This window comes from Homo sapiens, chromosome 8 (assembly GCF_000001405.40).
Source record: "Homo sapiens chromosome 8, GRCh38.p14 Primary Assembly".
Classification (NCBI taxonomy): Eukaryota; Metazoa; Chordata; class Mammalia; order Primates; family Hominidae; genus Homo; species Homo sapiens.
This window is the reverse complement of record NC_000008.11, coordinates 51,934,398-51,950,226: the sequence shown is the minus strand read 5'-3', so window position 1 is coordinate 51,950,226 and position 15,829 is coordinate 51,934,398. Positions and strand designations below refer to the sequence as shown.

The 15,829-nt window shown below is 41.1% G+C and overlaps 1 long non-coding RNA gene across 3 annotated transcripts in view, besides 1 other annotated feature; it reads right to left on the bottom strand.

Moving 5' to 3' along the window:
* Positions 1-337: 337 nt before the first annotated feature.
* PCMTD1-DT (PCMTD1 divergent transcript) overlaps positions 338-15,829 on the bottom strand; it is a 50,575-nt gene continuing 35,083 nt past the window's right edge. For 2 of the 3 annotated variants that reach the window (NR_189277.1, NR_189278.1), the window contains one exon: positions 338-3,791. This is a non-coding gene — a long non-coding RNA (PCMTD1 divergent transcript). Of the gene's footprint in view, positions 3,792-8,089; positions 8,230-15,829 lie in introns of all 3 variants that reach the window. The other variant, NR_189279.1, reaches the window with a different exon arrangement.
* Positions 12,471-12,620: an enhancer, noted in NCBI's record as "active region_27342". NCBI's record gives its function as "activates an Ori minimal core promoter by ATAC-STARR-seq in GM12878 lymphoblastoid cells {active_cell/tissue: GM12878}" and the evidence as "EXISTENCE:reporter gene assay evidence [ECO:0000049][PMID:35858748]".

Genomic DNA, 15,829 nt, shown 5'->3' with positions numbered 1-15,829 from the left:
TTTTCCATTGTTATGTATATACCGTATTTTGTTTATCTGTGCATCTGTCAATGGACATTGGATTGTTCCCAACTTCTGGCTACTGTGAATAATGCTATTATGAACACGGGTGTACAAAGGTCTCTTTGAGATACTAATTTGACTTCCTTTGGATATATATGCCCAGAAGTGGGACTGCTGGGTTACATGAGAATTCTATTTTTAATTTTTGGAGAAACTTTCATACCATTTTCCATAGTGGCTGTACCATTTTACCTTCTTGCCAACAGTGCACAAGTGTAACTGAAATAGGTTCATTGCCCCATGCACACAGCAAATAATAAGCTGAGACACCAGGTTGTAGCAAGGAAAGGGGTTTAATCATAGGGTCACTAAATGAGATGAGAAGAAACCTCAAATCTGTCTCCCTGAGGCATTTGGGGGTAGGGGTTTTTAAGAGTGTTGGAATGGGCTGCAATGTGGAGATCACTGATTGGTTGGAAGAGTAGAGGGTGAAGTCATGAGATAGGGAGATGAAGAAGCTGTATTCTCATATTGATCCCATTACTCTGTGGGAGTCTTCAAACTGGCTGCTGGAATTTGGGGTGTGAAAAACATCATAAGTGATCCTTAAACAAAAGCCTTATGATTCTAATGTCAGAGATCTTATCTATAGGAACAATGCAGATGTACATGGTCAGCATCCAGGGCTACATGACTTTTAACAACGAGTAAGTGGGCCCAAGTGCAGACTGATTAGTACTTAATTGGAACTATTTCTGTCCAGAACCCAGCATGCAATTCTTGTCAACACTGTGGGATGGTTTCACAAGGGTTCCAATTTCTCCACATCTTTGCCGACAGTTGCTATTTTCTGTTTTGTTTTACTTTTTTTTTATAGTAGCTACCCTAATGAAAGGAGGTGATTTAATTATGGTTTTAATTTGATTCGTGATACTGAACATTCTTTCGTATTATTGTTGGATTTTGAAGCTAATTTCAAGTTGCAAAAACATCACAAATCCAATTAGGGCAGATTATTTTGTCACTAGATCCCCATTAATCATGCTATTTGTCCAGTAGATTTCCTTTTCTTTGAAAGAATTTTCCAAAAATTATGGCTCAGAACATCTACATATCTGCAACACAGAGACATTTCAAAGTCTTATGCTTTTAACAAGAAACAATGTATTTTAACAAATACATTGAGAATCTCAATATCTATATCCTTTGAAAACAAGAATCTATTACAAATAAGCTTGGCCTAAGAGCTAGAGTTGGGAATGTCCCATTTTCACCCTGGGTTGGTGACTGCATTAGTTTGCTAGGGTTGCCATAACAAAGTAGTACAGATTGGGTGGCCTAAACAAGAAAAATGTATTTTCCAGTAATTCTGGGGGCTGGAAATCCAAGACGAAATGTCATTGGGTTGGTTTCTCTGAGACCTCTCTCCTCGGCCCTCTTCTCTCTGTGTCTTCAAATGATTTCTTCCTCTGTGAGTGTAAGTGGCCAAATTTCCTTTTCTTATAAGGGCATAAGTCAATTTGGATCAGGGTTCACAGTAATGATCTCATTTAACTTTAAGTACCTCTTTAAAACCCTTTCTCCAAACATAGTCCCATTCTGAGGCACAGGTGGTTAGGACTTCAACATATGCATTTCAGAGGACACAAGTGGTTCCAAAACAACAGATGGGGCAGATGAGGATGAGGTGATGGCAGTACTGCTGGTAGGAACCAGCTGAGGCCAGACTCCAATTCTAGCAGGGTAGAAGAGTGCATGACAAGGCGTGTTATAGAAAGTCATGATACACTTACACAGACTGAATCTCACTCCTTGAGGATGTGTTGAATCATGAGAATAGTAACCTTGAAACTGCCTTTGAAAAATTATGACAGTAAGATAAATTGGACATAATTGACTCCATCTTGCTTCTGCCCTCCCAGCTGTCCTTGTCATTCCTGGACGTAGACCAAGCCAACTTTGGCAGGAATCTAGTTTATAGTTTAACCTGAAATAAAGGATGATAATAGTCCCTCCCAAAAATAAACCCCTCCTTGCTCAGGGACTGAAAACCGCCTTTGTAAGATTAATGAAGGGCTACAAGATTAGAGTTGTGGGAAAGGCATGAACTCTGCTAAAATGTAGACATAGTAATCTCTTACTGCCCAGGAGTCATGTGGCCAGGGGTCACAAGCTTTGTGACTTCTCCAATTGCTCCTATAGATAACATCACTATTGTAGAACCTAAGATTGATTTTTTGATACGTTCTTCACACTGGCCCCACCTGGATTCATGATTCAGCTGGTCCTGTGGCCCCACCCAGAGGAAAACTCAGCACATCAGGACTGTTTTCCACACCCCTATGATTTCACCCCCTACCCATCAGCAACACCCATTCCCTAGCTCCCTGCCCACCAAATTGTCCACAAAAATCCTGACCTCCAAGCCTTTGGGGAGACTGATTTGAGTGATAACTCCAGTTTTCCCACGTGGCTGGCCTCACATCAAACTCTTTCTTTACTGCAACGCTGTGGTCTCTGTGGACTGATCTTATCTGTGCAGTGTGCGGAAAGAACCCACCAGTTGATTACAACCTAAGTTCTATTATTGTACCAAAAATAGGGGCTAAAAATGAGTTAATTAGGTTCAATGAAAAATCACAGCAGGCCAGGCATGGTGGCTCACACCTGTAATCCCAGTACTTTGGGGGGCCAGGCGGGCGGATCACTTGAGGTCAGTAGTTTGAGACCAGCCTGGCCAACATGGCAAAACCCTGTCTCTACTAAAAATACAAAAATTAGCCAGGCATGGTGGCACATGCCTATAATCCCAGCTACTCGGAAGGCTGAGGCAGGAGAATTGCTTGAACCCAGGGGGCAGAGGTTGCAATGAGCTGAGATGGCACCACTCTACTCCAGCCTGGGTGACAGAGTGAAACTCTGTATCAAACAAAACAAAACAAAACAAAACAAAACAAAACAAAACAAAAAAAAACACCCAGTAGCGAGTTTGGCATTCCCCTCTGCAGACTTGCTGCTGCTGCTGCTGCTTTTCTCGCGCCATAATTCTTGTCTCTCTCATCAGTCTCTCGACCAGAACAAGATTAGCAGCACGCTCAGTCCTGCACTCTGGAAGTCTTCCTGCCCTTGGAAGCTGCTTCTAAAGACACAGAGGGCCCAGTTTGTAGGGACTTTCAGCTGGATCATATGTGATACAGATGAGTTCTTCCGATCCTAGAGCTCCAACCTGCAGAACAGCCACATCTTCTTTCACAAGCATTCTGGTCTATGATTGGGAAAAAGGAGTCCGCAGCCTCTGTGTGCAGAATGGGGCTCACTGTAGGTAGCAGTGGCAGGTCTAGTAACACTTCTTCTCTGGCTGCTCCAGCACCATGGGAGTTTAGAGCTGGGAAGGAGAAAGCAGCAACACAAGAAAGAAGGTGGTAAGGAAGTGAGAGAAGGTGGGCGCCAGCCAGCTCCCGGGACGTCTCCAGGCCACACAAAGAGCTTCCTCGTCATGCCCTGGACACCATCATCTCTGGGATGCAGCTGCCTCCCCCAGTGGCCACACAGACAGTGCTCTCTGTGGACAGGCCATCCAGGGATGGGACAGTGGCTGGGGGGGTAGGGGGATGTGCTAGGAAAGACCAGCTTCACTAGGAGGCTTTTGTCTGGGTTGGAAATTAGAAAGTGGTCCACAAAATCAAGAGAAAGTGTAATTTCTTGACAAACACATTTTGAGGTATTTTTGCAAGTGACTTTGATCCTCTGGGACATGGAAGTGTTTAATTCCGAGAATCTGTGTTGACCTAAAAAAAAGAGAAACGGAGGCAAAATTAACAGAAATAGTTTATTTGGGCCAAGCTTGAGAACTGCAACCCAAGAGCATTATTCAAGTTGCCCCGAATATACACTCTGAGTAGCAGCAGTTACAAGTAGATTTTTAAAGGCAGAAAAGGGGGATAGGGAGTGGACTCATACGAAGTATTTGTCAGGAATTCACATTGGTTTACAGAAATGACATTAAATAGTGATTGGCTATACCTTGTTAAGCTACTGGGTATGGGTTATAGTGTCCAGTGAGGCATTATTAGGTTAATTGATAGCTACTTGTGGCAAGAGCGAGCAGGTTTTTATTTATTTATTTATTTATTTATTTTTATTTTTCGTAGAGACAGGGTTCTCACTTTGTTGCCCAGGCTGGTCTTGAACTCCTGGTCTCAAGTGATCCTCCTGTCCTGGCCTCCCAAAGTGTTGGGATTACAGGCACGAGCCACTGTGTCCACCCGCAAGCAATTTGAAGACATGAATATGTAGCTCAGTGGGGAAGTAGGACATGATTCCTGTCTCATTATGTCTCTCTGGGCCTGATTGTTTAAAAGGACTCATAGTCCTCAGATAAAAGTTCTTATCTTATCTTTTCTCACCTAGTATCATAGGGAGAGGGGGAATGAGAAGAAGTTTTAAATCTCTGGGCCTGATGGTTTAAAAGGACACATAGTCCTCAGATTTACACTCTGGGCCTGATTGTTTAAAAGGACTCATAGTCTTCAGACAAAAATTCTTATCTTTTTTTTTTTTTTTTTTTTTTGAGATGGAGTCTCACTCTGTTGCCCATGCTGGAGTGCAGTGGCACAATCTCGGCTCACTGCAAACTCCGCCTCCCAGGTTCAAGCGATTCTCCTGCCTCAGCCTCCCGAGTAGCTGGGACTACATGTGCCCGCCACCATGCCCGGCTAATTTTGTGTATTTTTCAGTGGAGACGGGGTTTCACCGTGTTAGCCAGGATGGTCTCCATCTCCTGACCTCATGATCTACCCACCTCAGCCTCCCAAAGTGCTGGGATTACAGGCGTGAGCCACTGCACCCGGCCACAAGTTCTTATCTTTTCTCACTTGGTATTATAGGAAGAAAGGGAATGAGGAGGGTTTCAAAAGCATGTCTATTTAAAAGCATGTCCTTTTAAAACCCCTTCTCATTCCCTCTCTCCCTGTGATACCAGGTGAGATTTAAAGGGACATGCTTGGCCAGGTGCAGTGGCTCATACCTGTAATCCTAGCACTTTGGGAGCCTGAGGTGGGTGGATCACTTGAGGTCAGGAGTTCGGGACCAGCCTGACCAACATGGCAAAACCTGTCTCTACTAAAGATACAAAAATTAGCTGGGCGTGGTGGTGCACGTCTGTAGTCCCAGCTACTTGGGAGGCTGAGGCAGGAGAATCACTTGAACCTGAGAGGCGGAGGTTGCAGTGAGCCAAGATTGCACCACTGCACTCCAGCCTGGGCGACAAAGCGAGATTCTCTCTCAAAAAAAAAAAAAAGACATGCTAATCAGAACCTCAGAACTGTGATCTTATAGTATGCATCACAATTGAGGGAGGGAGCTCTGAAACCCAGACCTGCTTTCAGTGGCATTTCCCCCACTTTAATCTCCAGGATTAGACACTGTCATAGGCTTTGGGCTGTCAATTTCCTTTTCTACTCAAGAGTTCCCTCAGATAACCTGCCTTCTGTCTTATCTTGTCAGGCCTTCACCCTCTCCAAGTTAGAAAGGGGTCTTTACAAGTTAGTAAATAGACTTTACATGTTAAGAGAAGGAAGATTTTTGTTTATAGCGGAGCCTTGACCAAAATCTCCTTTGAAGTAAGATTGAGATACAATGTTTTACCCCATGATGCTGATGCTACATCAAGTCAGCATTTTATTTATCCACTAACTTAACAACCATTGGTTGAGCTCCAAGAATTGCATGCACCACTCTAGATCCTGAATCTACACCAATAAATGAGAGTTCAGCTGCCTCCTTTTGTGCAGTTTATTTTCTTGTGTGGGGACAACAGTCAACTGACAAGTAAGCAAATAAAAAAATAATAATATTATTGAGCTAAAAGGAAGAACCTGAGGCAAAACTAATATAAGAGAGTTTATCTGGGCCAAGCTTGAGGGTTGTGTAATTACCAGATGAATTCTTCCTGCTTGCTGCATAGACAAAACCAATTCACTGAGACCATGCTATTGCAGGAAAGAAAGAGTAATTGACATGAGACTGCCACATGGGAGACAGAGCTATTACTCAAATCAGACACTCCAAGGACTCAGAGGCTAGGGTTTTTATGGACAATTTGGTGGGCAGGGACCTAGGGAATGGGTGGTGCTGATTGGTTGGGGAGGAAATCATAGAGATGTGGAAAATGGTCCTCTGGGTGGGCCCCAGGACCTGATGGGTCATGAGTCATCGTCCGGATACAGTCAGTTTGAAAAACATTTCAAAAAATCAATCTTAGCTTCCACAATCATGATGTTATTTATAAGAGCAATTGGGGAAGTCATGAATCCTGTGCCTTCTGCCACATGACTCTGGAGCAGTAAGAGATTATAGAAACGACACCTACATCTTAGCAGAGTTCAGGCCCCTCTCATAATCTTATTCTTGTGGACTTTCATTAGTTTTACAAATGCAGTTTAGTTTTGTGAAGAGCTATTATCATCTTTGTTTTAAGGTTGAACTAGAAACAAAATCCCTCCCAAAGTTAGCTTGGCCTCTACCTAGGAATTAACCGGGACAGCTAGGTGGTCAGAAGCAAGATGGAGTCAGCCCTGTTAGATTTCTGTCACTGTAGTAATCGTAATCTTTGCAAAGGTGGTTTCAGTTGCAATTCCATAGGTTGGAGTTGCCCTCAACATACATCCAGTTAGCAACAGTTACAAATAGGTTTTTAAAGTAAAAGAAAGAGGCAGTTCCTCAGTTGTTTAGCAAAAAATTACATTAAAATAACATAAGCTATTGATGGACTACATACTGTTCTTTGTATCACAAACTCCTGCAACATGAAGATACTGGGTGAGGCGGCTAGTCAGGAACTAAATGGCTTTAAACCACGGTGGGAGCAGGGTGGAATGACTGCAGGCCCTGCTCCTGTCTCTCTGCACCTGCATACTTCACATAGTGCAGACTGCGCTAAGCTATTTTTCTTTTCTCAACATCAACAATAAGTGCTATGAAGAGTGTCTTAAAGAGGGATATGACATGGATGTTACTCCGCATTGGGTGACTGGGGAAGCACTCTGTGAGGTGAGATTTGCGCAGATCCTGAATGACAGGAGGAAGCCCCAGGTGCAGAGGTCTGCCGGCAGAAACATGCCCGGAGTTTTCAAGGAGCAGAAACAATCAGCCCGTGTGGCTGGGAGGTCATGAGACCTGGTGGGCAGATCTAAGCAGTCCTGTGTGCTGCCTTGTTTTACCTAGGACCTCAAAGATTCGCAGTGAGTGGAGAGGGGACCAGGGACAATACAATTTCAGGAGCAGTAGGGGCCATGAAAGCAGAGAAGGAAGTGCCCAGGCAAGGCGTCCTACGAGGTGAGGCGCTGGTTGTTGGGGCTCAGAAGTTAATACCCCAACAATATGGCACATTGACATGCTGAACTGAAGAAGCCTCAAGGTCTTTCTCCCCGGCCCACCTCCTACCATTTCTCCCAAAGCACAGAAGGAAGTTAACATTTCTTTATCTGCCTAATAGCCAAACCCATTAAGGAGAACAGTTGTTTTAAATTCCCCTCCCTATAAGACCAAGAATGTAACCATGCCTGAACAGACCCACTCACAAGACAACATATAAATTAATCTCTATTCTCTGATCTATTTATTCTTCCTAGTAATCCCCTTAACAGAATTCCTCTTCTCTCCCTCCCACACCCTGTTTTGCCAGGATGGCAGACAAGCTTCTGAACCCCATTAGGAGGTGGGTGAGTACTCTGTGGTTCTCCTTGTGTGCATGTTAATAGATCTATATGCCTTTTCTCCAACATATCTGCCTTTTGCGAGTTCATTTTTTAGTGAATCTTCAGAGGGTGAAGGAGAAGTTTTTTCCTGTGGCCCATATATGGCCAAGCATCATGCCCTGTCAGGCATGCACAGCGCATCTGAGCGACTCGCAGCAATGGCTCAGGATGCCACACTCTGAGGAGATCCTCCGAGTATCCTACCCTGCAACGCTTCAACCCACCACTTCCCTCTGCCTTGGGGAACTTAGAGGTCAACTTATCACCATTTGTAGGCCCTAACCTGAGTTCTGCAATCGTAGAATGGCTTTTGTTGCTGGTTGACTTACATGATTCCTTCTCTTAGTCATTTTCATTTCTAGACAACATTCTCTTCATTATATGGATGGCCTTGCCTTTCCTCTCTCCTCTTCTTCCAGTTTTCTTCACTGAGTGTTATTTATTCCCAATAGACAATGTTGGAGTTTGTCTGAGGGTTATAGAAAGGGAAAAAGTGTCCCTTAAGAACATTCCTAAGGAAAAATATGTCTTCTGATTTCTTGAGCTTAGAATATGTTAAAAGTAGAAGAAAGGATCCTAACTGACGTGAACTTACATCATCAGGGTCAGTTTAGTTTAAAAAATATTGATTTAATTTCTAATTTGTACTAGCACTACATGTACAATGAGTTCGTAACTATAAATGAGGTGAGATTGAAAAAATATATATAGCCAGGCATGGTGGTGCACTCCTGTACTCCTGTATTCCTACCTACTTGAGAGGCTGAGGTGGGAGGATCCCTTGAACCCAGGAGTTCAAGCCTGCAATAAGATACGATAGCAGCATTGCACTCTAGCCTGGATGACAGAGTGAGACTCTGTCTCTAAAAGAAAAAAAAAAAATATATATATATATATACACACACACACATATGTGAGTGTATTTATACACACATATATACACATTAAATATATACAAATATATATATAAAGACGAATGAGTTTGGGGAAACATAATGAGTTTGGTTTTTTTCCAAGAGACAGCTGGATATATGAATCTGGAGCTTAGGGAAGACGTCAAGGGTGGAAATATAGATGTCGATATCCTCTTTAATTTCAGGTAATTATCTTAGGATCAATCTTCCTCTACAAATTAGAAAGGACATATACTCAGAAGCTAGTAGTTATAAGATTTCCACAGATTTCATTCTACTTCTGGCATGCTGCTGCACGCAAGCAACTAGGAACAGCACCAGGTATAAAATGCTTTATTGATCTGAGTGAGTCCAACTCATGACCACTCTTTCTCCACAGTATTTATCACGGTGGTTTTACTGACATCAGTGACTTGTTTTTTTCTAATATTGGCTCCTCCTCCTGTTTCTGTTATCTGTTTTGATTTGGTTTTGCCATCAACGTCTTTGGCTGGAGTCATCTGCAGGATATCTCTTACTATAGGAAGTGGTCAGACAGGTGGGACTGTGGCATTGCATCTCACAATGTGGAGTCTGCATGGAAATGCACAGGTGATGCCCTCTGGGCCTAACCAAAAGCAGAACTTGGTCATTTGTCTCCACCATCATATCCTGAACCTACAACTTGAGACAAGCAGCACAAAATCACAAAGGTCCTGTAAGCACCCAATGGGTTCCTCTTGCCTGCTGCCCAGATGCAGTCAGTTTATCAAGATGAGAATTGCAATAGAGAGTTTAATGCACAGAGAGTTGGATAGGTGAAAGACTGGACTTTACTCAAATCAGTCTGTTTTTTAAGTTATAAAGAACTAGGGTTTTTAAAGGATAATTTGGCAGGCAGGAGACTGAGAAACGAGGAATGCTGATTGATCGGGTTGGGAACGAAATCACAGGGATTCGAAACCATCTTCTTACACTGAGTCAGTTTGTGGGTGGGGGCCACACAACCAGTTGAGCCACTTTACTAGTCTGGGTGGTGCCAGTTGAGCTATCAGAATGCAGGGTTGGAAAAAATACCTCAAACACCAATCTGAGATTTTACAGTAGTGATGTTATCCATAGGAGCAATTGGGGAGGTTGGGAATCTTGGGGTCTTTGGCTCAAGGAGGGTTTGTTTTGTTGTTGTTGTTGTTGTTTTGTTTGTCCTGGAAAGGGCTATTAGTATCTTTGTTTCAAAGTAAAACTATAAGGTGAGTGTGGTGGCTCAGCATTTAGAGAGGCAGAGGAGGATGAATCATTTGAGGTCAGGAGTTTGAGACCAGCCTGGCCAACATAGTGAAACCCCATCTCTACAAAAAATACAAAAATTAGCCGAGCGTGGTGGTACACACCTGTAATCCCAGCTACTTTGGAGGCTGAGGTGGGAGAATCGCTTCAACCCGGGAGCCGGAGGCTGCAGAGAGGCAATATCACACCACTGCACTCCTGCCTGGGCGATAGAGTGAGACTCTCTCAGAAAAAAAAAAATAAAAAGTTAAACTATAAACTAAATTCCTTCCAAAGTTAGTTTGGCCTGTGCCCAGGAATGAATATGGGTAGGCTGGAGGTTAGAGGCAAGCAGATTCTTTACTGTGATAATGTTCTGATGTCAATTTTTTCTCACTGTCATAATTTTGCAAAGGCTGTTTCAGTCCTGCTGATACTAGGAAATATCTTGCCTTTAAGTTCTTTCAAAGAGATGTGACATTTTAAATCTGGTGATTGAAATGGAAAAGTGGAAAACAGAGGAATAAAATTTTAAACTACTCATATAATATACAAAAGTATTGTAATCCCATGGAAATATCTGAAAGTTTTACATTTGACTGATGTATACCATAATAATTGCACGTTAAATAAATAAACAAGCAAGCAAATAAACTTGAACACACAACCCAGATAAAAGCTGCAATGTTTCACATTCCCGCTCAAGGAGAAAATGAAAATGAAAGGTTAGGCTGTTATTTTAGTTGTTTTGGCAGCTCTCAGTGGCCAGAGTAGCCATATGGCATCAGGAGTCACGCAGAATATGGTTTTTCTCACCATTAAAGCATCTACCAGAAGAAAAGATTGAAGATCAAGGGTTGCTCACAGACAGGTGCTAACAGCTACAGGGACCTGTGAATGTGCTCGGACCTCTCATGTATGCAACACTTTGACCAGACTAGCTTCCTGGGCAGAAGCCCTTCTCACAATCTAAAGAAATCCTTTAAGAATAAATAGTGACAGCTTTCCAACACCCATTTAACTCTATGTAGCAAGAGAAGCTGATTGCATAGTTGTCAAGAATCTTAAAGAGAGAAAACTAGCAACACAGGAAGCTGGAGTTCTATTGTTTACTAATGGTGTGCAAACCCTGTGTTCTGAATGAGCTACCCATCAGCAAAACAGGAATAACAAACCGTAGTAATCCACTAACAGTGACCAGCTGTAAGATGAGTCAATACATTCAAAGTGCACCGACGTCTACAAACTTGAATCCAAACATGTCTTATCCTAAATTTACCATCATTTATTTACCATAATATGAAATGTTTAGTGTTGTAAGACAGTATTGGCGGACATTGAAAAGTAATCTAAGCAAGGGGAAATTACACTTCAAATATGGGCATCATAATGTTGAATATTAAATGCTTATTAATTAAAACTGAAAATTATTAGCAATAAAATTTTAATAACTTGTACAATAATACTGAGTAAAATTAATTTGCTAATAAAGTTAGAACACTAAGTGACCTTACATGAAAGAATGTAAAAAAGTTAGTTACAAAATATATTTATGGCACCACATAATATTTTAAATTAAAAAAATGAGTATGGGGAAAGAAAGAAATACAGAAGGTAAACTGAGTAATGACTCTGGATTGAATATGTTCTAAAAGTATAATCTGAACTACTTCAAGTCCTTGTATCCTCTGCAGATTAGATTCTCATGGTAAAGTGGGTTTCTTGGAATAGCCTTTTCAATGCTAAGAAGAAAAACATGAGTCCTAGTCCTATAATCTGTCTAAATAGAATGAAATGAGAGGTTAGAGATGAAAAAAATAAGGTCCAAAGAATCTGAGTGACTTTCTGGAGGTCACAAAGGGAACCATGCTGAGCAGGGACTTGAAAACAAATCTTCAGACAGGTGTCAGGTTAACCTTTGGTGGTGCCACACTTCCTATGATGAACTAAATCATTGCATCTCCTCTCTATTTGGAGAATGCCTGCTTTACAGAGGTAGGTTTCAACCTTCTCTTTAAGATGATAATTGGCTTTTTTTAATGCCCCAAGACAAGATGGGAGCCGCCTACAAGACTGCAAAAAAAGTCCTCACCAGGCACCAAATCCACCAGATTTTCCAGACTCCAGAAGTGTAAGAAAAGGAATTTCTGTTGCTTAAGCCACGTGGTCTACGACATTTTGTTATGGCTGTCCTAGCTAAGACAGCCACTTATAGAATGGGAGAAAATATTTGCAAATTATATATCTGATAAAGGATTAATGTTGAAAATTATATATATTTTAATACCCTAACAACTCAACAACAAAAAACAAAAAATCCAATTCAAAAATGGGCAAAGAATTTCAATAGATATTTTTCCAAAGAAGATATTCAAAAAACCAATGACCATACGAGAAAATGCTCACCATCACTAATCACTAGGGAAATACAAATCAAAACCACATTGAGATATTACTTTACACTCACTAAAAAAAATCTTTTATCAAAAGACTCAATAAAAATAACTAGTGTTGGTGATACCGGAGCTAGAAAGGAAATATTCAGGTAGTTAGTAAGGGTAAGAGAACCCCTGGTAAGGCTTCCCTTTTAACAAAAAGCAGCCCCCAAATCACATCGTTTCTAACAAACAGCAGCCTGAAAAATCAAGCTGCAGACATAAATAAGCAAGCTGGAAGCTTGCATAGGTAAATGCTGGCAGCTGCGCCAATAGAAAAGGGCTACCTGGGTGCCAGACATGTTCAGCGTGGAAGTTCCCACTTCCCTTTTCTTTGTGGCCACATGTGCACTAAAAAGACAGGCAATATGGTGCAGGCCAGATAGATACTCCATTTGCATAATAAAAGATTAGGGTGGGGCTGGGCCCTGGTGGCTCACGCCTGTAATCCCAGCCCTTTGGGAGATCGAGGCGGGCGGATCACTTGAGGTCAGGAGTTCGAGACCAGCCTGGCCAACATGGTGACACCCCATCTCTACTAAAAATACAAAATTAGCCAGGTGTGGTGGCATATGCCTGTAATCCCAGCTACTTAGGAGGCTGAAGCAGGAGAGTTGCTTGAACCCGGAAGACAGAGGTTGCAGTGAGTAGAGATCAGCCAGTTGCACTCCAGCCCAGGCAACAAGAATGAAACTCCGTCTCAAAAAAAAAAAAATTAAATTAAATTAATTAATTAATTAAAATAAATTTTAAAAAGATTAGAGTGGGATGGCCAGCTTCTTTGTGCACTATGCAAATGACACACAGGTCCAACCAATCCCTTGGGCCCTATGTAAATCAGACACGACCTTCTCAAGATTGTCTATAAAAACCCCTGCATTTTACCATGAAACCGGAAGACCCACTTGGGAACCCCTCTCTGCAGGAGAGAGAGATGTTCTCTTTTCTCTTTCACCTATTAAACCTCTGCTCTTAAACTCACTTCATGTGTCTGCATCCTTGATTTCTCTGGTGTGAGAAGATGAATCTTGGGTATTTACCCCAGACAGTTACACCACTTCATTGGCAAGGATGTGGATAAATAGGAACCCTTGTTCGTTGCTGGTAAGAATGTAAAATGGTACAGCTCAGAAAAAAACAGTATGGCAGTTCCCCCCAAAATTAAACATAGAATTGTTACAGGAAGGGGTCCCAATCCAGACCGCAAGAAAGGGTTTTTGGTCTCGTGCAAGAAAGAATTTATGGCGAGTCTGCAGTGCAAAGTGAAAACAAGTTTATTAAGAAAGTAGAGGAATAAAAGAATGGCTACTCCATAGACAGAGCAGTCCTGAGGGCTGCTGGTTGCCCATTTTTATGGTTTATTTCTTGATGATATGCTAAACAAGTGGTGGATTATTCATGCCTCCCCTTTTTAGACCATATAGGGTAACTTCCTGACATTGCCATGGCACCTGTAAAGTACCATGGTGCTGATGGGAGTCTACTAGTGAGGACGACCAGAGGTCACTCTTGTGGCCATCTTGGTTTTGGTGGGTCTTGGCTGGCTCCTTTACTGCAACTGTTTTATCAGCAAGGTCTTTATGACCTGTATTTTGTGCTGACCTCCTATCTCATCCTGTGACTTAGAATGCCTTAACTGTCTGGGAATGCAGCCCAGTAGGTTTCAGCCTCATTTTACCCAGCTCGTATTTAAGATGGAGTTGCTCTGGTTCACACACCTCTGACAGAATTACTAAAGGATCCATAAATTATACTTCTGAGTAAACACCCAAAAGAACTGAAAGCAGCAGGGTCTCAAACACATCTTTATATACCCATGTTCATAACAGTATTATTCACAGTAGCCAAAAGGTGGGAACAACCCAAATGTCCACCAATGGATGAACAGAAAATGTGTTATATACATACAATAAAAAACTGTTCAGCCTTAAGAAGGAATGAAAGTCTGACACATGCTACAACATAGATGAACCGTGAAGACATTACACTAATAAGTAAGACACAAAAGGACAAAGACTGTGTGATTCCACTTTTATGAAGTAACTAGAGTAGTCAAATTTAGAGGGACAGAAAACAATGTCAGTTAGCAAGGGCTGGGGAGAAGGAGGAATGGGGAGTTAATTGTTTAATGGATAAAAAGTTGCAGCACTGATGAAGAATGAAAATGAACTCTTACATAATATCAATTTATTAATAATGAAGGATAAAGATGAGTTCTAAAAATGTTTAACACCCACAATTATTTGAATAGAAGACTGCTTAATTTCTCAAAAACATTCATCTTTAACCTCTAAAACACCTCAGTCATTTCAAAACTGGCTTTCTGCCATATTATTACAGAAGAGGTAAATATCTCTTAGGATGGTTATGTCTAGATAGTTTTTCTGTTACAAAGGTCTCTCTTCTGCTTAAACCAAATCTCTTACAATGAAATTAAATCTCATTTCTCCATTTTTGATGTCTGGTGGATTTGTTGTATTTTATTTATTAAAGATTTCTTTTCCAAAATTAAAAAAAATATGGTAATTAAGCAATCTTTAGGAAAGCAATCACTTTACGCTACATTTCTATATAGCTTCATCTTCTTCACAGGGCAAGTCGCCAAACTGAATTCCTGAGATTGAAGCTTTTCCATCAGGAGCTTTGGTTGGATTGGCATCACAGTGGTTTGGGTAAATCCCCGTGATGTTACTGAAACAACGAGGATCATCTGCTGTGTGCCAACACTCTCACCCTGGTGGGGAGCTGGGTTTATTGGTTAAATTTAATTAAGCATAGGTTTAGATTTCTGTGACCAATCTGTTTATATTCAAGTATAATCAGCCTTCTTGATGTGCTATTTATTTAATCAATAAAGAATTCAGAATTGTAGAGTTATGAAATTTTAAAAATATATTTTTAAGCAGTTTTCCTTTCAGAACACTCAATCACAAAATATATCTAATAGATGCCATTAATCTCATTGTAACTAAAATAAATTTCTACAATGCAGTTTCCTTCTATTCAAATATTTGCATGATCTGGAAGCTAAAATAAATATTTAGTGGGAAGCCAGAGGACAACTGTTTTCTGCTCTTTTGTAGTTCCTTACTTTGCCGTATTTGTATTATGCTAAAATTTACAAAAGAAAAGTATCTCTTATAGGTAGTTATACATTTTGATTCATGAATGACAATATCATAAAGCATTATATATATATATTCAAGATATATGCAGGTTTATTATATGGATATATTGTACAATGGTGAGGTTTGGGTTTCTGGTATGCCTGTTGCTCAAATACTGAATATTGTAGCCATTAGGTGATATTTTAGCCCTCACCTCCCTATTCTCCCAGCTTTTGGAGTCCCCAGTGTTTGTTATTTTCCTCTGTATGTCTGTGTGTACCTAAAAAATATATATTTTAGCAAGGAGATAATTCTAGTTAGTACATGGGCTATCGGCATCTGTTTTTCTTAGTGTAAGTCTTTTTATT